We start from the raw sequence: 21,125 nt of genomic DNA, 5'->3' as shown, positions 1-21,125 counted from the left end.
TTGATAAAACAATTTATCTTAAGAAAAGGGTTTGTTGTGTTTTCTTTTTCCAGAATAGTGAAACTAACAGAGGAGAATCTGAAAAAAAGAGAAACCTGGGTGAACTTTCACGGACAACCTCAGAGGACAACGAAGTGTTCGGTAGGTGACGCAGATATCGGCAACATGGCGCCACATGGTGACAGCGTGCACCTGCACTCTCACTCGGGGAAGCCTTTGATTTTTTTATTGCATGGGTGATCCATGGATCTGTCTGTACTCATTACTAAAACATAGAGGCTGGGATCATTGCTTCATGTCTGTAATCGCACACTTCATGGGGTCTATGCAAGAGGATCGCTTGAGCCCAGGAGCTCAAGACCAGCCCGGGCAACACAATGAGACCTCGTCTCTACAAAAAATAAAATAAATAAATTAGCCAGGTGTGGTGGCATGCACCCGTGGCCCCAGATACTTGGGAGGCTGAAGTGAGAGGATCACTTGGGCCCAGGAGGTCGAGGCTGCAGTGAGCTATGATTGCTCCACTGCACTCCAGGCTGGGCAACAGAGCAAGACGCTGTCTAAAAAAAATTAAAATGTCGGCTGTGTAGATACGTGGCAGATACAGCCCCTTCCTCCCCTCCTGCAATCCCTTCCCATCTCGGTTTTGTTTTTGCTCGCATGCCTTGTTGCACACATAGACATTCAGCATTTCCCAGGCTCACTGTATGGTGTTTCTCTGATCGTCTGTTTGTCCAGCCCTGTGTGAGCATCGGGAAGCCTAGCAGTGTTTGTAAAAAATAGCTAATGAGGAAATGAAATTGCACCAAAGCCTGGATACCACGGTGTTTATCTTAACCACAAAGAGTGACTCAGAAGGCATTGGGAAATAACTGTTGTCTTCAGAATTTTACTTTTTTGTATTGCCTTATTGAATATAAATTGCCTTTACATATTTTTGTGGATTGAATGTGTCCCCTACATTTCGTGTGTTGGAAGCTTAACCCCCTAAATTTCTATGTTAATTGGACGTGGGGCCTTTGGGATGTAACTAGGAGCAGAGACCTAGTCATCAGGTCATTGGGGTGGGGCCCCTGATGAGACCAGTGGCTTTGTAAGGAGAGGAAGAGAGGCCTGAGCCAACTCTTAATCTGTGTCACCATGCGATGCCACCCACCACGTCATGGCACACTCACCAGAAGCTGAGCAGATGCCAGTGCCATGCCCTGGGACTTTCCAGCCTCAAGAACTGTAAGGAATAAATTTATTTTCTTTATAAATTATCCAGTCTCAGGTATTCAGTTATAGCAATAGAAAATGAACCAAGATATAATCTTAGCATTCATCTTTGTTTCTGCTTCCCCTATGAGTGACTGACCATGTTCTCATTTGAGGTTTACATTAATGAGGTTGGATCCACTCGTCCCATCATGACACTGAGGCTCAGTGACTTGCCCAAGACCACAGGGCTATGCAGGTCCTCAAAGCAGTTCTATTCTGCTGTGCACAGCTCTTTGATTTTCTTCATCTATTCCTAAAGCAAAGAGGAAAAGGGGTGGAATGAAATGTGCTCAGATCCTGAGAACTCACTATAGGTCGAAGGAAAAAGGAGTGATTTTGTGGCTACTAAAATACGCATCCCTTTCCCCAAGATCAGGCCACCCTGTAGGTTACAGACAACATTCAAGGCAAACAGGCTTCCTGGCCACATTCCCTAGCATGATCTTTGCTTATTTATGGAAAGGCCTTTCTTTATATTTCAGCTGTTAGACAAGATAATTTATGCCGATTTTTTTTGTTCGTGATTAACTTGCTCTTTTTCAAAAGTCCTTTCTTTTCTACAATTCCATCCTTCTTGAGCAAACACACATAAAACAGATTTAGTGCTACCGACTGTTTCAATATCTTAAGCGTCCATGAAAATCAACATAACTCAAAGGCCCAGAGACTGAAAGCAATGAGGACTCCTTTACTAGAAAGGAGATAGGCAAGTGCAAAAGGGACTCAGTGCTCTGCTGATTTCTGCATACTTTATTATGCTCTTTATAGGAATTTTCTTGGAGGCATGTCTGAGCATAACTCACCGCCTTCAGGTACTGGGGTTTCCATCCTCAGTGGCAGAGGAAGAAGAGGAAGGAGTTGAAGGCAGCCGCGTCCATGACTAGGAGCAGCAGCGTGCACTCTGGAGAACACTTAGGGTTTCGTAGAATAGACAATCTATGAGTTTGAATGGGATGTCCCAGCCTTGATGGTTTTAAGAATAAATCTGCCTATAAAACTCTAGAATAAAAATTCATTTAGATGATCTCTTTACTCATACATTTCAGCTACATATATAAAGACGTAATAGAAAAGCACGAAGACAAATGTCCAAATTTAGGTTTTACACATAAATAAAAGTGAGTTCTAGAATGATTTTGGCTAAGCCTACTGTTTTTTTAAGCAAACATCATCTTTATCATTATTCCCCTAGCTAATTGCTTTTGAGATTATTCGTAACGATGGCAGCGGTTCTGTTACCATCAAATACACACATACACACACACACACACACACACACACATATGTATAGGTATATATACAGCATGGATACAATATAACATAAAAAGGTCTTCTATACTTAGCCCTTTCCTTACGCTATCAAGATGATATCATTCCTGAAGCCCTTCCAAACGCAGCCCTCCTTAATCTTTTCCAAGAGATACTGAGTTTAGAGAGTTATTACCTAGGATTGAATGTGAAAACTACTGGAAATGATGGAAATGCAGAATATTTCCATCATTTCACAAACGTGGGTTGTGTTTTGATAGGAAGAGCAATACTTCTGCCTGTTGTGTTTACTGAGGTGTTCCCAGGTCCTTGGACACCGGAGCAAGGCTCGCATATCTGCCGAATGAACTTAGCTCCCACATTCCAAGCCTTTCTGCCCGTGAGTGTGCCGAGGAAGCAGTTCTCAAGAGTCACCTTCAGGCCTTTGCAGCTGATGCCTGATTCAGGTTGAGTCAAAACCAAGGGGGAAGTGGGAGGAGCTTGTGGTCCAGGCATCCTCATTTCATCCACCCTAGGGGAGGCTGGCCCAGGAGGCCTCTGCACGCATTATTTAGCAGCAACAATCCCAAGTGATGCCGACCTGGAAGGGCCTGTTGAACTGTGGGGCTTTTGCTATTGACCTTAATAATTTCCCATGCCTGACCCTTTCCTGGGGCACACAGAACTCTACTCTAAAGGCGCAGAGTGCTGAAGGAAAAGAAACTAAAATAATCTTGGCTATTAGTCTTGGCTGTATAACCTTGGAGGCATATATGCAATTTCTTTTAAAATTGTAATGTATAAAGTGACTCTAAATGAGAGCAGCAGCTCCCACCTACTTTAGGAAAAGGTCTTTCCTTGACATGATAGTAAATCCCATCAGTACGTTGGGAAACCATTCCTGATGTCCCGTGAGCACAAGTCACCGTGATCGTGTGATGGTCATCTCTAGGTTCTTGGCAGCCGTTTCATCCACGCATCAGAAGAATGAGCGAGGAATGTGAGAAATGGGCAGAAAGCCATCATCCTTAGCTAACCACTCTGCAGGACACGCATACCTAAGATCTCTGTGAACGTCGAAAGGCAATAGTGTTGTATTTCAGCTGATAAGAGAGTCCCCGAGTTAAGACTGATTGGCGCATTGAGAAGTTTGTGCCAGGTGCTGACTCTGGCACAGGTGCTATTGCTATGGTTCACACATTGAGTGCTCAAAACCACAAACAGACAACTAAAACCACGCAGCCTTCCTCCTCGTCTCTGTGAAGGCCAAAGCCAGTCATTCTCTTAGCAATCCACTTTGAAGTTTTATTTGCCCTTCATGTTCTGGTAAAAATCTCACCAAAGGATTGTTTTCAATCTAAGTAAATAACTCGTTAGAGCACACTTTCAAATATCTTCTGTGATTTGTTTTTTTTTTTTCGACAGCTTTCTGGTTATGCTTAAGACTGTTTTGCCTAGTTACAAAAGGAGGAAGAAAACACTCTAAGGCACGACAACCTAGAGAACTGGGCGTTGTCCAAGCTTTGGGGAAGCAGGCCATTTTTCAGTAGACCAGTTGCTGCTAAGCGTTTTCTGACCCACACACCCACAGGTAGTGCACACACTGTCCTCCTCCTTAGAAACCAGGCGGGAAGGAAGGCAGGAGTCAGTCTCCACCTCTTCTCCCGCCAGAGTTGACTAATCGTGGGGCTAAACTAAAGGCAGGCAATTCAGTTGAGGTGAGCGAAGTCTTAGGTCTCCCTAAATTATACTAAGGGAGGAGAGGAGTGGCCAAAAGAGGGCACTACTGCCCCGGTGACTGACTGTGGTTCCTCTCAGCCAGGACAGGCATCTCAAAGACAGGGCTGGAGGGATGTGGACTCCGTGTCATGTGTAAGCTAGTTCACTCCACATGTGCCACAGAGGATGGATGTCCTACCGTGAAAACGTCACCAGCCCGCGTCTGTGTTCACTGCGTCCACTTCACAGGGCCAAGTCCTGTGTGCACAGCATGTAAGGGCAAACCCCCATGAAGAGTCATGAGGAAAACATTCACAACTTCATTGCTCAGACAATGGAGATAGAAATATCTGTGTTTAATGTTTATTTAAAAAGTATTCATCCCAGAAACATTTAAGTACATATATTGGTGTGTGCGTGTTTTCACTCTTCTTTATTTTATAAAGCTTGAGTTAGCTGACAGTAGGAAAAAACACCAGGAAACAGTAAAATGTAAATAAAATTGAGAAGTCTAGATGAAGTGAAGGAAGACCACAAACACATCAACCATGTGACAATGGCTGCAGGGAGCCGCCCGTTTCACTCTGAGCTGCCCAGCTGCCCAAGTGGAAGGGGACCCCGGCCAGCCTGAAGTCTCTCATTTTACACAGCAGGTGGTAGAGCCCTACCACCTTTTAGCTGTGTGCTTTTAGCAATGAACTCCTCTGTTTGTGTCTTGGTTTCCCCATACGTAAGTAGGGGTAATCATAAAATGACCTGTGAGTAAGAAACAACACATGTGCACGTGTGGGACTCTCCCATCTCCTCACAGTACTCAGTAAACATTGGCTAGTATTTTCAGAGAGAAGACTGCAGACATTTTTTGAAGCATACAGAGCTTTGTTTAACAAATACTAAGAATTTTTCCTGCTTAAATTTTTATCACAGACAAAGAGTCACATGGTAGTCAACGACCTCAAGGTATTTTTATAGCACATGTGGAGATTAGTTTTGTATAGTTATTTATTGTAATAGAATTCAGTAAGGGCCAGTGGTGCAACATGAATCTTCCGCATTGCAAGCCAAGAGCCTATGATCCCTGTGTCTAGCCATCAGAGGACCTGCTATGATCCACAGACAGAATTACAAGAACTTGGGGTCCCTTCCCAGAGCCAGGACTTTGATAGGCATTTCATAGCACAAAGTTCCAGGTCCCAGGCTCTGAGAAAGGCCCAGGAGGAGTTCTGAGCGGCTGGTTGCTGAGGCACTGCGTGCCTGTGTTCCATTGAGGGTCAGCGGCAGCCTCAAGAGAAGACAGACTCCACCTGGGAAACAGGCAGGTGTGACCATTGGCTCTGCCATCAACTCTCAATGCAACTGGGGGTGCGACTTCATCTCTCTGTGCCTGTTTCCTCCTCCAGAAAACAGGGTTTCCTATTGACCCTCAAGAATTGTTGCAAGGGCCCATTGAGAGAACAATTTGGCCGGGTATGATGGCTCATGCCTATAATCCCAGCACTTTGGGAGGCTGAGGCAGGTGGATCACCTGAGGCCAGGAGTTCGAGACCAGCCTGACCAACACGGGGAAACCACATCTCTACCAAAAAATACAAAATTAGCTGGATGTAGTAGTGCACACCTGTAATCCTGGCTACTTGGAAGGCTGAGGCAGAATTCCTTGAACCCAGGAGGCAGAGGTTGCAGTGAGCTGAGATCACACCACTGCACTCCAGCCTGGGCAACAAGAGCAAAACTCCGCCTCATAAAAAAAAAAAAAAAAAAAAGGAGAGAGAGAGAAAACAGTTATACTCCATTACAGGATGCTTTAACATCTCTACTGCTTGAAGCCACGTTCATACAGTGAATAATGAGTGCTGCCGTTCATTAGCATTTTTCATGTGCCTCTGAGGACCTGGGTCACATCTGCCATAAACACTCATTCATCATTGGTACTAGGATGTCCTGCCTATGTGCTTTCTCCATTCATTTATTAAATCATTTTTGAGCACCTCCAATGTGCCGTGCCATATACTGGAGGTGGAAGAGAGAGGGCAGGAGGTTAGAGAAAACAAAATAGAGAAATGGCGGGGCCAGCCATTCTGGGGACTTCACACCATTTGGGGGATGGTTTAACATAGAAGGACATGGAACGAGGGCCTCAGCCTCCCAAAGTGCTGGATTACAGGCATGAGCCACCACGCCCAGCCCATAATTTGCTATCTTATTGCCACAAAGAGTCTATTCCGTCTTGCCTGGAGGGCTAGGGCCTTTATTTTTACTTTACATCACTTTTCTAAGAGGCTGTTCCTGTCATATCTAACCAAGAAGCCCGCCTGTCTCCCATGCCACACTTCTTTATCCCACTGCCTTATTTCATGTCCTTCACATTGGCCTTTTGGTTATTGCATTTGCATACTTGGTGTGTTTTTTCTTCCACAAATGCAAGCCTCTTGAAGGCGGTGCATCTCTTATCTGTGCTGGCCCCTATTTTTATTTGAATTGGCCACCAGGTGGAAGCACTTAGCACTGAAGTGGACATACCAAATGGCTTCTCAAGATCCATGTCTGCTTTTGCATCTTGGTGTATTTTTACTTGTAATAATATTCCCCTGATTTTTTAAGCAAAAATATATTTATTTATAGTGTTACACATATGTCAAATTTGATTAATTAGATAAAAATTAATTAATTTTAATTTTAATAATGTAATTAAGGTTAAATTATTATCATTAGAATTAAATTAATTATAAATAATTAGTGACTACTTTATAAAATTAAATTATTATAATTTAAATTCATTATAATTAATAAAGCAGCAAATTGAATTAATAATTAAAATTAATTAATGGGATTAATTGATGAACTAAAAAATAATTCAACTACCTGACATAACTGTCCCATTTTCCATTTTGAATTCTGATCTTTCAACCAACAACATTTTTCTAGGCTGTTTAGCGATCCTGTATTATCCTTTTAAAATAGCTCCTTAATATTCCATATGATTGAACAGTAATATCATTCCTCTATTGCTTTTCATTTTGGTTGTCTCAAGTTTGCTACTAGAAACCATGCTACAGTTGGCACTTTGATTTCAGTAGGGTTTTTTCTTTCTTTTAATTGTTTTAATAGGCTTCAGTCAAAGTAAGTGAGACGGCTAAATTATTTTCCCCGAACTCGTGCTGGCGAACTGCCCTTCCCGTGGCTGAATATGCCTATTTCCCCAGCACGCTTCCATCTTGGGGCAGCCTCAGGGGGTTGTAAGTTGGTGGGCTAGGGCTGGATGTGGTGGCCCTCAGGCAGGTCTCGTTATGTCCATATGGTGGAGGTGTTTTCTTTTAATTTTGATGACATTTGGAAACGGTAAACTTTCCCCGGAAAATGTTGAACTGCAGCGTCTCTGGAAACTAAAGGCCTGGCAGTGGCCTTCTCCAGGCTGCAGTCGGCCGGCCGAGGAGCCCCCATCTCCAGGGCCTCCAGGTCCCCTGCGACTTTCCTCCCTCCACGGAATAAGCTGCTTGACCCCACAGGCCTGGAGCTTGAGACTTGGTCCCCAGTCTGTTCCAGATTAAAATGGCTCTGGGCACCATTCCAGTCACTGCGGCCGTGTTCCAAGTGCGTCCACGATTTCGTTTCTTAAAGTGCTGTTTCTGTTGCTCAGGATTCTGCACGCGGGGGCGGGGGTGGTGCTGGAACAGCTCGTCCCCTGTGGGCGTCGCATCAGCCGGTGGGGGCTGGGGTCGTGCCCGGGCCTGGGGTCGTGCCTGGGGCTGGGGTCTGCCGGAGGCCGCTCCCTCCCGTGGCTGGCGAGCTGTGCGGGGCGTTGGCTGGGTCCGGCCGGGCTGTCAGCCTGAACTGGTGCCCTGGGTTCTCCAGGTTTGGCCTCCCCGCAGCGTGGAGCAGGGGTCCCAGGTGGGTCCTGAGAGTCGAAGCCAGAGCGGAGCCACTGCCTGCTGTGACCCAGCCTGGGAGCGCTCGGCATCCCCGCATCCCCGCATCCCCACCGCCCCTGAGGTGGACGTCCAGGGCTGGGGAGGGGATGCCTCTTCTCCCCGGAGGGTCCCTGAAGAGCCGGTGCAGCCCTGGGTGTCCTCTGCCGAACTTAAAAAACACTCCCCGCTCACGCCTGTAATCCCAGCACTTTGGGAGGCCGAGGCGGGCGGAACACGAGGTCAGGAGATCGACACCATCCTGGCTAACACGGTGAAACCCCGTCTCTATTAAAAAAAAAAATACAAAAAATTAGCCGGGCGTAGTGGCGGGCGCCTGTAGTCCCAGCTACTCGGGAGGCTGAGGCAGGAGAATGGCGTGAACCCGGGAGGCGGAGCTTGCAGTGAGCCGAGATCGCACCACTGCACTCCAGCCTGGGCAACAGAGCGAGACTCCGTCTCAAAAAAAAAAAAAAAAAAAACACTCCCCGCCTTCCTCAGGTGTCCCCCTTCAGAATTTTCGTGTAGCGGTTTTTTAAATCATTGCATCTTTGTTTAAATTTGTTTCCAAGAAACGGCTATGAGAAAATCATTTTTTGAGATGCTATTTTTCAAATGATGTGTGTATTTAATGCATCCAGGTTAGTAAACTAAGCTACAAGACTTTAGTAAGTAGCTGTCATTTCCGATGTAAAATTCCATTTGGACCTGGCAGTCGCGGGAGCTCCTCTCTCCTTGTCCTTCTTCACACACAGTCCTTGTCCTTAGAGATAATCACTGCACGGCCTTTCCGTGGGAATATTCGGTGCTAGTGTGAATGGATCGCTAATTGTGATTCCGTGGCTGCCTGAGGCCTTGTATTCCTGTCTAGACAAGCCACAAAACCCATTTTGTGAAATAGCATCTTTGGGCTGGGTATAAATCATAGAAACAAAATCACAAGTTGGGGGATGAAGGAATATTCAGATTATCTTGTCTGACCCCGCCTTGCATGTCAGATGAGGGTGCAGCTGCCAGGCAGACACTCAGGAGCAGGATCGGAGCCCAGTGCTCCCAGCCAGCCAGGGAGACCGCAGCTGGTTCCTTGAGGGGCAGGGCAGTTCTCATGTCTGTCTGACAGATGTGAAAACAAACACTGTAACAGTTACTTCTCCTCTGTGCGTTGAAGTGAATGTTAATGATACTTTATATCATTAAAAACCCAAACACACTTCTGAATATTTACCCTGCTTCATTGTAGTACCCAGGCAGTTCTTGGGGGACATGCCTCCTTCCCGTCTCAGAGGATGTTTGTTTTGGGCCAAAGACCCCCTGCTTCTCAGCGGCTGAGTGGTGAAATCTCACGCCGTGGGTGTGGGCGTGGTCAGGGCACGTGGGAAGCCGGTTCTCCTCGGCAGCCTCTCCTGAGAGCTGTCGGACAAAGGTCTCGGCTTCTAGGAGTTACTTTAGTGAGGCCATGTCATTTGGTAGTTAGGACTGTGGACTCGGTTCCCCTGTGCAGAGGGGGGTTGTGTGCTCAGCTGCAGGTTGCTGGGAGGACTCAGTGGTGTCAAAGAAAAGTTACCCCAGGGAGAGTGAGACAGGCAGGGAAGACGTATCCCAGACTATTGCAGTAGGAGAGAGCGAGCTGAACTCCACCCTGCTGAAACGAAAGGCGGGAGGGTTTTTAAGCACTGGGGTGAGCTGGTGGGAGAGTCCTGGAGGACATCGGATGGAGGCCGGTTGGTGCAGTCAGGCCAGCAATGTTTGCAGATTAGCGCTTACCACAGTTAGGCCCCTGCCTCCCGCAGGGACTGGGAGCTGAGGGTGTTATCTTCCTTGTTGGTTACATTTCAAAGGCTCCTGGGTCCTTCGAGAAGACAAAGCTGGGCAGTGAACTGAGCAAGAGGCCAGGAAAGGGCCGATGTCTCAAAGGGACGGAGAAATAATTCATAGTGGCAAGTTTTCTAGAGACAAGGAAGTTGGGGCTGAGAGTCCTACAAAACCTGTTCAAGGTTTAATCCCCCGGACGGGAATGGCAAGGCTGTCTGGGCCAATGGTCAGTTCATGCCTCCAGTTTAGAGCAGCACCTGGTCCCTATGGGTCCTGTGAGCCACATGGACACCGGGCCAGGCACAGGAGACAGCAACAGTGTGTTCCCCAAAGCCTCTGCAGACCCAGCCCCGGGCGCACGGGGTCACGGATAACAGGAAATGCACTGCCAGCGGCCTCACTGCCATGCGCTGGCACAAATGCACCCAGGTGCTGCCTGCCCTTCATCCACACGGTCAGTGGAGCGCAGCACGCTCAGCCGTGACACCACAGAGCCACAGGGATGTGTAAGAGGAGTCGGGGAGGGGGAGCCTCACTTCGTTTTTTCTTTTTTTCCTTTCTAAAAATTCCAACAGCTGCTCTAAAACCTTAATTATTCCAAGCAAGTTTCTAGAACCACTGAGTTTCTGGGAATGTCTGGGTTTGCAAAGTCACCAGCTGTGTTTGGAAAGACATTTCCAATGGGGTTGAACTCTCCAGTGTGAATGAACTTTTCTTGTCATGACCTCACTGTCTGTAATGAGGGCTTCCTGATTGCAGTTTGCTTTACCTGAAAACAAAACAGAGGCCAAACACCACCTTATTTAAAGCAATAATGGAAGTTATCCTATGAAAGATAGCAGCCCACCAGCAGATGTGAAAAGCAATTACTAGGTTAAAAAAAGAGAAAGAAAGAGAGAGAGAGAGAGAAAGAAAGAGAAAGAAAAGGAAGGAAGGATGAAAAGAAAGGGAAAGAAAGGGAAGGAATGGAAGGAAAGGAAGGAAAGAAAGGAAAAAGAAAACTGAGCCCATTTTAAGCGCAGTTCATCTTTCCCAGCCAGGGAGGATGGCAGAGGTGGCACTGGGCTGGGAGGGAACAGCCACCCATGCACCTCCTGGGTCAGGGGTTGGGCTTTGAGGATGTGGGTTCTAGAAGTTTACAGTTATGTGCCCCCTACTCTGGGCATTTTATCAGTTGGTACAAAGCCACTTCCTCCCAGGGCAGGACACTCTTGCACCAGCTCAGCTCAGCTCCTTCCTGCCTCTGGGTTTCTGCTGACCCTGCTCCTCCCACACAGAGGCTGTGCTGGAGTTTGCAGCAAAGCCGCCTGCTGTTTTCTCTACCACAGAAGGTGGTACAGACACGCAGGGCCCAGCAGCAGCAGGCGGCGCTGCCGTTCCTCTGTCTCCATCCACGATGTGCGTGCCCAGAAGGTTCCCTTCTAACTGCGGGGCCTCCCAGAGCAAACTCATGATTACTTCCCATGGTTTGCATACCTTTATGATACTGAATTCCATAGAATGTTGACATTTAAATGTGTGCGTGCATGCAAGTCCCTCACCTTCTCCTCTGGGCTTTCTGTGCCAAAGGTCATTTTCCTGATAATATGAAATTGATCATCTGGAGATCACAGTGGCAGAGCAGGAGAAAACAGGATGTGTGCATGGTGACATTACCCACCGCTAACAGGAACTGGAACTTGAGATGTGTGCATGGTGACGTCACCCGCCGCTAACAGGAATTGGAATTTGAGATGTGTGCATGGTTGTGTCACCCGCCGCTAACAGGGATTGGAACTTGAGCTCTCCCCTTATCCAGGTACAAAATGAGGAGCACTATTTCTATGTCTTTGCTGAGAGCACTGATGGCTGATTGTGCCAAGGACCCAGGGAAGCTCTGATACTTAGCAAGCACCTCTCCCATCACCAAGGCCCAAGCCCTCCTCTGCCCACCTGGGTGATTAAGTGGGTCCCAGCCTCCATCCTGATCCATCCCTGTTGGTTCTCCCTGCCAGCTAGCTGCTGAGCACCTCGCTCCCTGCTCAAATCCCCTCCACCTGTTCCCCAGGGGCCTCTCCAACCACATCTCCTGCGGCCCCTCCCTCCCGCAGCCTCCTGGGTGTGGCTGAAGCACAAGCTCTGCCCTCCTCCTTAAGTCTCTTGCCCAGATATCCGGGGGTGAGCTCTTCGCTCCATGTCCCTTCTCGTTGACATCTCCCACTTAGAAGTGCAGCTGTGTCAGCGCAGGTGGGCTCTGCAGGCCTGCCAGAGGAACTCCTAAATCTCTGAGGCTCAAGGTGATGTCCACTCACATCATAGCTCAGCGAGGGCCAGGCGGCTCTCCATCCAGTGTGCCTGGGAGAGTCCTGTGGCTTCCACATAGAGTCTCTGCCATCGGAGGGCAGGGCGGGGAGGGACCGGGAGGACAGCCCAAGGGCCAAGCACCCTGCAGACCAGGCCGAGGGGCAGTCATCGCGTCCACTCAAGTTCTGATGGCCAGAAGCATCATGTGGCCCCACCTCGAGGAGGGGGCCAAGAGGAAGAAGGATGCAGAGTGGGGCAGTACAGTCACCTCTGTCACAGTCCCTGATTATGTTGTTTATTGTCCGAGCCCCGACTCCGGATGGAAAGTGAGCCCCATGAAGGCAGGGACATCTGTCTGTTTTGTTCGCTGAGATATCCCAGCACCTAGACGCAGGCCCGGCTCATGGGACGAGCTTCATCAATATTTGCTGGATGACTGAGTGACAGGTGGGACACCCCTCGTCCCTGCTGCTCTCTCCTCTCCTGTCTCAAAGACTTCATTTGCACATGGCAGTGTTCCACATAAAATGCCAGCAGACAGTGTGCCTGAGGCCTGAACTCTTCCCTGTAAGGAATTCTGCCTCTATGCTACAGCTCAGCAAGTGATGCACAGAAGTGCCCGCAGCTCGTGCATCAGAGTGTGTGTGTGTAAGAGTACCCGTGTGTGCTTTGTGATGTGTGCACATAGCATGTGGGGTGCACACTATAGAAATGCTGTTCCAACTGACAAAATGTCCCTGGAACTCGAGAGATGCTTTTGTTCTTTGGAATTAGGGTGAGACTCTGAAACCACAGCCAGCCCCCGTAGCGGAGCATACCGGCTGACACTGGCGTCTTGGCTGCAGGGGCTGAGGACGGAGCTCAGTCCCGACCCAGCTGAGTGTGCAAATGTCCAGCTTCTGTGTGCCCCTTGGCTGGACCTGCAGTGGGGCCCCTGCCCACCCCTCCCCTGAAGCAGCCACCATGAGGACAGGTGCAGGGAAGTGGGAAGCAGCCATGTCACTGCAGATGCGGCCACCCTCAGCCAGGGCTCCTATCACTAAGCCATCTGGTGTTGAGCTCCCTGGAGACATGCGAGCCTGTGCTGTTCCCCTCTCTGCTTCTGGGACAGCCACGCTGGCCTATCACGGGGACACGGCATTGGTTGGCTTCTTTTGGGGCCTTCTATTTAGCAGGAAACTAAAAGTTCCCCTTTTTCAAATGATCCAGGGCAGGCAGCTGAGGTCTAGCGTGGACTCACACCCATGTTCCCCAAAACCTTGCCAGTGGCTCCACAGGAGGGAGTAGGTTAGGACGGCAAGGGCACAGCGCCCACAGGGACAGCGCCCCTGAAGTCCACCCGGGGGGTATACATGGCGTGAGGGGGCCCCTGCTGAGTGGAGAGGAGTGGGGGCTCGGGGACTCAGGCCCGGTGTTGCTGGGCTGGCAGGGTACTTCCCATCAGGAGTCACAAATCCCAAGGCGAGGATAGTGGCTGTGTTCCCGTGGGGGATTATTCCAGGTGAGCGTGTGGATGGGTGGGGGACACTGCTGAGTAGGTCCTCTGAGCTTGCCGGGATATACAGTGAGCACAAACACTCATAAATCATAGCTGCATTCGCTTCAAGTTTGTTTCCTGTGCACTTACCCCTAAGCGATCCTGGCCTTCAAATATAAAAATGCACTGCTAAGAGTCACTTAGGGTCATCACAGCCACAATGGGACAACTGAAAGCTTCCCAGAACAAAGAGGGAATACAAACCTTACAATGGCACAAATAGCAGCTGGGATGGGCTCTGGCCAGTGGGGCAGCCGTGCGTCCAGCTCGGGACCCGGGGAGCTCAGACAAAGGGGTCCCTGCTCACAGGTGCCCCCATCCAAGGACCCCTTTGTCTTACCCCCCCGATCGGGATGCTGCTGATCACTTATGTCTGTTGGGTCTTGGATCCCCAATTTGAAAGCACTTCTATTTGGTTTCCATAAGTAAAGTTCACATTTGTGATTTCACCTCACAGCCTGAATTTGTGATTGGAACTTGGGACTCTGTTGTGTGGCTGTTGGATCGCCCCGCTCCTTCCCCCGTTCCTGGTCGGGTGGACTTGGGCACATCGGAGGAAGACTCTGGCTCAGAGGGCACAGTCTCGGGAGGGCAGCTTGCACTCACACGCCTTCTCCAGCCTCCTCATCCTCTTCCAGTGCTGCCGCACGGCTTCACCATAACCTTTTTTTAAGATGCCTTTTTTCCCACTTGTTCCAATGAGAGAAGGGCATGTCCCTGGGTTTCTCAGATGAATCCTTCAGGAGCTGGGCCTCGCTTCTACAAAGAACATTTTAGCATCAACATTGTGTAATTTGAAGAAACAAGGTGTTAAAAAAAGGGAAAATTAAGCCCACTGTTACATGCAGGTTTAGCAAAGTGCACCCCCACTCACGCTCCTACCCCTGGTCTTCACGCATCAAACTGAACCCCATCACTGTCACACCACTGCTTTCCATATTCATTCCGCCCTTTCTTCTTCTCCCTGGAAGGTGTTAAATTTGATGTATCAGGAAAGGTGTTACTAATTATTATTCCTAAGCTCTCCTTCCACATGTGGAAGAACCCTCAACTCTTCTTAGTGATAAGAGTTCAGTGAAAATCGGGTCCTTCAGCCCCAGTTCTGCACTGGGTCTCAGTTTTGGTGTGGTTGCTGCAGAGGCATTTAGATCCTGACCTCACCCTCCCCGGAGGAGCCCAGTGCAGAGGCCCAGAAGCAGCCCCAGGTGGGCTCTGTCGGGCAGTCTCTCCTTAACTGTTGAACGGTTAATTCACTGTGAGCCAGGCCGACAGTGGTGGGTGGATTTTAAAATAAACAGTGGATGTGACCATTTAAGTAGGTTAATTTTATCATTAGAGAGCTACAAAGCAACTGAGAGATGCTCGCGTCATTCGCCCGCAAGTGAAAGGTAAGAACCTCGTAATTTGGGCACACTGAAATGGGAACGTTTCATGAGGTTGACTTTTTGTATCTGGGCCATTTTTATTTCAAGGCTACAATGCAATCATTTCCCACAATAATAAAATTTACACCGGAAGGCTGTCCTGCCTTTCTTCCTCTGACAGGAAGAGCCCACCTAGATAATAGAATCTTACATGCTATGTTACCTCAAGTTTACCATTACCTAAATATTTTTATTAAAATTACTTTTAAAATTATGTCTTCATGTTCCATTTCTTTTTCCTGGGGTCTTCATTAATAACCAAAAACACCAAAGGCAAATATTATAATTAGTGGTCCCCATGACTGGAACTGGACACCATAATAATTTGCCCCGGGTAGGATGAGAGAGTGGCAGGAGGTTTCCCTTGAGATGATTAAGACATGCTCCTTAATACTAAGGTAATAGGGTGGGGTGTGGTGGCTCACGCCTGTAATCCCAGCACTTTGGGAGTCCGAGGCGGGCAGATCACTCAAGCTCAGGAGTTCAAGATCAGCCTGGCCAGTATGGTGAAACCCCATCTGTACTAAAAATACAAAAATTAGCTGGGCGTGATGGCACGTCCTATAATTCCAGCTACTGGGGAAGCTGAGGCAGGAGAATCACTTGAATCTGGGAGACACAGGTTGCAGTGAGCCGAGATCACGCCATTGCACTCCAGCCCAGGTGACAGAGCAAGACTCCGTCTCAAAAATAATAAATTAATTAATAGAACATTTCAGTCAGTAGTACCTGCGAGGCACACAGCTCAGTTATGGCAATGAAGAAGGAACTGCCCTTGTAAACAGCTAATACTGTGGCAAGCTACAGGCTTCAGCAAAGTTTGTATAGGAAAAAAAGCAAATAATCTAACATTTAAAATATAAATAGCAAGCTGTTTTGTGTTTCAGAGCTTTAGTTTATCTCCAAAAATTATTTTAAAATACTTAGTTTTGGTATCTGCTTTTGCAACTGCCTTTCTCCAGTAAGCGCCTCAGTCAGCAGAAGACATTGCTTTGCCAAATGTGTCTCTATGAGTCAAAACTGAACAAGTTTGGAAACGTTTCCATAGAACAAGAATGATTTTTAGACATGTGATTTCTTGAAGTCAAGAGATGAACAAGAATTTGGAATAGCATTACTCAAAGAAAACTTGTAATTTTTGTCCTTGCTGTTGACATTCTACCAAGAACGTCAGCAATGACAAACTCTACACTAAGTAAAAAATGAAAATAGCACTTGTTTCCATAGTTACAAAAGTGCTTTTTGTTTTGGGAGTTTAAAATGATCATTAGGGGTGAGTGCAGTGGCTCACGCCTGTAATCCTAGCACTTTGGGAGGCTGAGGCAGGCAGATCACTTGAGGTCAGGAGTTCAAGACCAGCCTGGCCAACATGGTGAAACCCCATCTCTACTAAAAATACAAAAATTAGCCGGGTGTCGTGATGGACACCTGTAGTCCCAGCTACTCGGGAAGCTGAGGCAGGAGAATTGCTTGAATCCGGGAGGCAGAGGTTGCAGTGAGCTGAGATTGCACCACACACTCCATCCTGGGCCACAGAGCGAGACTCCATCTCAAAAAAAATAAAATAAAATAAAAATTAAAAATAAAATAGTTATCCATATCCAATGATGAGTAAATAAAATAAATCCACATGTGACCAAAAGGAATGATCTAGAACGACAGAATTATGTAATGACCCTTACTCTTTTCCTAATAATAAATAAATCTGAGCATGAAATATGCAAATAGGCAAAATACTCCTCCCAAACCAATGAGGCAAATCTTCCGGGTCCCATTTCAGCTACCTCAGATAGCTTTGGACTCTCTACTTGCAGAAATTCCAAAAGAAACAGACTATAAATTAGGGTGTGAAAGAGACCCAGCTATAAGCATGTTCTCCAACACAAATTCCATCTTCATCATGCATCAAGGCTTTTTATTATTTTGAAATAAAACTTATTCTACAAATACTTATTGAACAGTTTTTATGCCCCAGAAACCGCGTCAGGCAGGAGTACATCGGTGAACAAAACAGATTAAAAACCCTGCCCTCGGCCGGGTGCGGTGGCTCACACCTGTAATCCCAGCACTTTGGAAGGCCGAGGTGGGCGGATCACGAGGTCAAGAGATCGAGACCATCCAGGCTAACACGGTGAAACCTCGTCTCTACTAAAAATACAAAAAATTAGCCGGGCGTGGTGGCAGGTGCCTGTAGTCCCAGCTACTCGGGAGGCTGGGACAGGAGAATGGCCTGAACCCGGGAGGCGGAGCTGGCAGTGAGCTGACACCATGCCACTGCACTCCAGCCTGGGTGACAGAGCGAGACTCCATATCAAAAAAATAAATAAAATTAAAAAAAAACCCTGCCCTCGTAGAGATTATTCTTGACCTGGGTTCAAATCCCAACCCTAGTGCTTAATCCATGTGTGTTTAATGTTTTTTTATTTGACCTCTTTGATCCTCAGTTTTTCCATCTGTAAAATAGAGATTATAGAACCTACAGAGATTGGCTGGGCATGGTGGCTCACGCCTGTAATCCCAACACTTTGGGAGGCCAAGGTGGGAGGATCACCTGAGGTCAGGAGTTCGAGACCAGCCTGACCAACATGGTGAAACCCCGTCTCAACTAAAAATACAAAAATTAGCCGGCCGTGGTGGCGGGCACCTGTAATCCTAGGTACTCAGGAGGCTGAGACAAGAGAATTAACCCAGGAGGCGGAGGTTGCAGTGAGCCAAGATCACACCATTGCACTCCAGCCTGGGCGACAGAGCGAGACTCCATCTCAAAAAGCCAACAAAAAAAAAGATCCTACCTGCAGAGATTGTTAGGGACGCATAAAGTCAGATGCCAATAGAAGGCCTCGCACAGTGGTCTATGAGTGATGAGCTTTCATTTTTCTCTTCTCCAGTTGGACCTCTTCCTTCCACCGCCACATCCTTAATCATAAAAGAAACAGTTTCCTATGACAATGGCCCAGCTTTCCTTCTACCTCTGCACAGTCCTCAGAACGCTGCTAGGGCTGGAAGCCCAAGGTCCTCTTTCGGGTAAAGATGAGGAAATAGGAGCAGGTACCACGACTGCCCACCTGCTGCCTACAGCTGTCTTCCTGCTGGGGTGCTGTGTGTGGAAGGAGGGCCTTCCCAGTGGAGATTAAAAGGGCGTCAAACGAGAGATGCTTTGGGGGGTCAAAACAGACACTTAGCTCATTTAAGTGTTTAATTCCAAAATTGATAATTAGCCTATTTTTTACTGGCATTGCGTAATCATCACATTGTTGAAAATTATTTGATTTCTAGCTTTGGGGTGAATTGGTCTTAGTGGTACTATGATATCATTGTATTTCTGCACAGGATTTCCCTCTGAAGATTAATAGATCTAATTCCTTGATTGCATAATACATACCTTATTCACTGGCCTGTTCTGGTAAATAATCAGTTCATTTGCTAGCATTTGGAATTAAATATTAAATATATCTCTAGTTCTCCCAGTTGCCTTAAAAATAGGATTGAGTATACCATCTTTATCTTCTGATGTATTTTCTGTTTTGTTGAAAAGTTGTGTCGAAGCAACAAAACAGCAAAATGAAAATGGATTTAATTGCTTTTATGTTTTAACAAGCTTAGTGAGATAATTTACAAACCACAGAGTTCAGCCATTTTCAGTGTACACATTAACGGTTTTTAGTGTATCCCCAGAACTGTGCAACCATCGTTAACTAACCTTAGAACATTTTCACCACCCCAGCAAGAACACCTGGAGCCACTAGACGTCCTTCTCCATTCTCTTCCCCGACACGTCTCACCCCAGCCCCCGGCCACTGCGAATCTACTTTCCATGCCTGTGGATTTGCGTGTCCTGGATTCTTCCTGTAAATGCGTGGTGTTTTATGGCTGGCTTCTTTCACTTCACACAATGCTGGTGAGGTTCATCATGGAGTAGCGCACGCTAGTGCTGCATTCCTCCTTACGACAGGAGGATATTCTATCGTGTGTGCACATCACCGTCAGTTCATCCACGCATCAGCTCACGGATGTTCAGGTGGCTGCCACCCTTTGGCTGTCGTGAATCCTACTGCCGGAGCCTTGGCGTTCAGGGTTTCCCGTGGACATAGGTCTGCGGTTCTCTTGGGCAGGCACCCAGCCGTGGTCGCCTTTGTTTTGTCTGTTACGTTCGGCTCCAAGGTTTGTTCATTTAGACTTTCCTTTTCATGTCTATCTTTCACATTTGGGTGTTTATCGAACACCATTCCCCAGAGGTAAAAATCCTCTCTGCTGCCTGGTTGACCTCTCCATGAAGATGTGGAGCTTGCAGGCAGCTGAGGGATGGAGGCCCTGATGTTTCCTGGCATCAGAGATTCTGCCTCCCGATGGTGACAGTCACTGGATCAGCAGTGAAACCTGAGAGTCCAGTTATCTGTCTTTAAATTTAATTCCTCTAAGCCAGTACTTACACCAGAACAAAAGCTTTCCCTCCCGTCTTCCAGAGCCCTCTCCCGCTGATCTGGAAGGAAGGGTGGGCCGTAGGAACAAGGACCGAGTCTTTGGAGAGACTATGGAATAATGTGGAACCACAATGCTCATTTATAGCTCCGGGGGACTGGGACCTGTCGCTACCTCCTCCAGCCTCCCCAGGCACATCTGAAAGGGTCGGCCCGGCCCTGGCCTTGCCCCTGCAGCTGCCAGACCAGAGGTGCAGGGAAGACAGCTGGTTTGTCAGGAGGATAATTGGAGGGAGGCAGTGGTTGAGGAGGCAGCAATCCACACAAATGCCCAACCAGTGCTTGAGGAACCAGGCCCAACACACCCTCCCTGTGCCTCAGCCTAACTGTCTTCATGCCGTGGATGAACCATGCCAGTGGATTTCCCTTCCGGGGAGCAAGTTGTTTGTGTATCAGGTAATAGCTACTTAAAGTGGGAAGAAAAGTGGGCCAGGGTTCTAAAGCACAAATATCTGACAAAACTGGGTATCTTGCTAATGCGGGAGTAAGCTTCCGTGCCTGAGAATGTTCTAGAATAGGCAGAGTAATAGCCTCATCTAGCCAACATCTCTGACACTCTCAGGACGTGAAGTCTCTATAGGTTTTAATGTTACCAAGGAGTAAAACTATGCAACATTTTAACAGCTACATAAATACCAACATTCATGTCTGTAGTTAATAGACAAAGTTTGATCCAGCAATTTGAATATCTAGATTATTAAGTATGTTATATATTCAGTTTCTAGTTCATATAATATTACATGAATGAAGCTCTCCCTCCTGGTGTCTTCCAGAAAACAAATGTCACATCCATCGACATGTTTGCCATGGAGCTGGGCCACAGTCTTGTAGCTGGATTTCTAAAACCTGCATTAGTGCCCAATACTCACCTCGCGGCTGTGCTAGGAAACACTCCCGCAGGACAAAAGGCACCATCCACTTTCCAGGATGTCAGTTGCGTGGAGGTTTTGGTCTCCTTTTTTCTGTGCTGCCTACATGCTAAGATTTAAGTAATTTCACTGTTAATCGGTGCTGTTTCTAATAAAAATGAAAGATTACATTCACAATAGTAATTTTTCAACTTTGGAAATGGCTTTGCTACAGAAGATGGAAATTACAGAACAGTGTGGAATTTTGTCACAGTCCATTTATTTCAATATTCTGAGCACTCCTGGCTAACAATCTAACCTCGAGGGTTTTCAGAATTTGCAGCAGAAGTCGGTGTTGGCAGTGCAGGTGCCTTCCTTAGGACATTGTCGGAGACACATGCAAATGTCTCTGCTGGCAGCCAGGCTCCAGAGACCCTGACCTGGTGCAGGCAGGTGCCGCTGCAGCGGGTCAGTTCAGAGATGCATGCAAATGTCTCTGCTGGCAGCCAGGCTCCAGAGGCCCTGACCTGGTGCAGGCAGGTGCTGCTGCAGCGGGTCAATTCGGAGATGCATGCAAGTGTCTTTACTGGCAGCCGGGCTCCAGAGACCCT

General features: G+C 47.6%; 1 protein-coding gene across 18 annotated transcripts in view, besides 8 other annotated features; it reads left to right on the top strand.

Moving 5' to 3' along the window:
- Nucleotides 1-21,125, top strand: part of MBP (myelin basic protein) — a 154,876-nt gene that overhangs the window by 67,270 nt on the left and 66,481 nt on the right. For all 18 annotated transcript variants that reach the window (XM_047437533.1, XM_047437532.1, NM_001025101.2 and 15 more), the window contains one exon: nucleotides 54-141. In XM_047437533.1, the coding sequence (XP_047293489.1) occupies nucleotides 54-141 (88 nt within the window). The remainder of the gene's footprint in view (nucleotides 1-53; nucleotides 142-21,125) is intronic.
- Nucleotides 521-1,720: an enhancer, noted in NCBI's record as "MED14-independent group 3 enhancer chr18:74776675-74777874 (GRCh37/hg19 assembly coordinates)". NCBI's record gives its function as "activates an origin of replication core promoter dependent on BRD2, BRD4, P300/CBP and CDK7 cofactors, and independent of MED14, by STARR-seq in HCT116 cells {active_cell/tissue: HCT116}" and the evidence as "EXISTENCE:reporter gene assay evidence [ECO:0000049][PMID:35650434]".
- Nucleotides 3,136-3,225: an enhancer, noted in NCBI's record as "active region_13521". NCBI's record gives its function as "activates an Ori minimal core promoter by ATAC-STARR-seq in GM12878 lymphoblastoid cells {active_cell/tissue: GM12878}" and the evidence as "EXISTENCE:reporter gene assay evidence [ECO:0000049][PMID:35858748]".
- Nucleotides 7,216-7,849: an enhancer, noted in NCBI's record as "H3K4me1 hESC enhancer chr18:74770546-74771179 (GRCh37/hg19 assembly coordinates)". NCBI's record gives its function as "activates a minimal SCP1, AML or CMV promoter by ChIP-STARR-seq in naive H9 embryonic stem cells {active_cell/tissue: H9 hESC(naive)}" and the evidence as "EXISTENCE:reporter gene assay evidence [ECO:0000049][PMID:30033119]".
- Nucleotides 10,833-11,734: an enhancer, noted in NCBI's record as "H3K4me1 hESC enhancer chr18:74766661-74767562 (GRCh37/hg19 assembly coordinates)". NCBI's record gives its function as "activates a minimal SCP1, AML or CMV promoter by ChIP-STARR-seq in naive H9 embryonic stem cells {active_cell/tissue: H9 hESC(naive)}" and the evidence as "EXISTENCE:reporter gene assay evidence [ECO:0000049][PMID:30033119]".
- Nucleotides 11,210-11,339: an enhancer, noted in NCBI's record as "active region_13520". NCBI's record gives its function as "activates an Ori minimal core promoter by ATAC-STARR-seq in GM12878 lymphoblastoid cells {active_cell/tissue: GM12878}" and the evidence as "EXISTENCE:reporter gene assay evidence [ECO:0000049][PMID:35858748]".
- Nucleotides 11,390-11,439: an enhancer, noted in NCBI's record as "active region_13519". NCBI's record gives its function as "activates an Ori minimal core promoter by ATAC-STARR-seq in GM12878 lymphoblastoid cells {active_cell/tissue: GM12878}" and the evidence as "EXISTENCE:reporter gene assay evidence [ECO:0000049][PMID:35858748]".
- Nucleotides 12,840-13,340: an enhancer, noted in NCBI's record as "H3K4me1 hESC enhancer chr18:74765055-74765555 (GRCh37/hg19 assembly coordinates)". NCBI's record gives its function as "activates a minimal SCP1, AML or CMV promoter by ChIP-STARR-seq in naive H9 embryonic stem cells {active_cell/tissue: H9 hESC(naive)}" and the evidence as "EXISTENCE:reporter gene assay evidence [ECO:0000049][PMID:30033119]".
- Nucleotides 20,535-21,057: an enhancer, noted in NCBI's record as "H3K4me1 hESC enhancer chr18:74757338-74757860 (GRCh37/hg19 assembly coordinates)". NCBI's record gives its function as "activates a minimal SCP1, AML or CMV promoter by ChIP-STARR-seq in naive H9 embryonic stem cells {active_cell/tissue: H9 hESC(naive)}" and the evidence as "EXISTENCE:reporter gene assay evidence [ECO:0000049][PMID:30033119]".

Source organism: Homo sapiens, chromosome 18 (genome assembly GCF_000001405.40).
Source record: "Homo sapiens chromosome 18, GRCh38.p14 Primary Assembly".
Taxonomy (NCBI): Eukaryota; Metazoa; Chordata; class Mammalia; order Primates; family Hominidae; genus Homo; species Homo sapiens.
The sequence above is the reverse complement of the archived record's forward strand: the minus strand, read 5'-3'. Positions and strand labels throughout refer to the sequence as shown.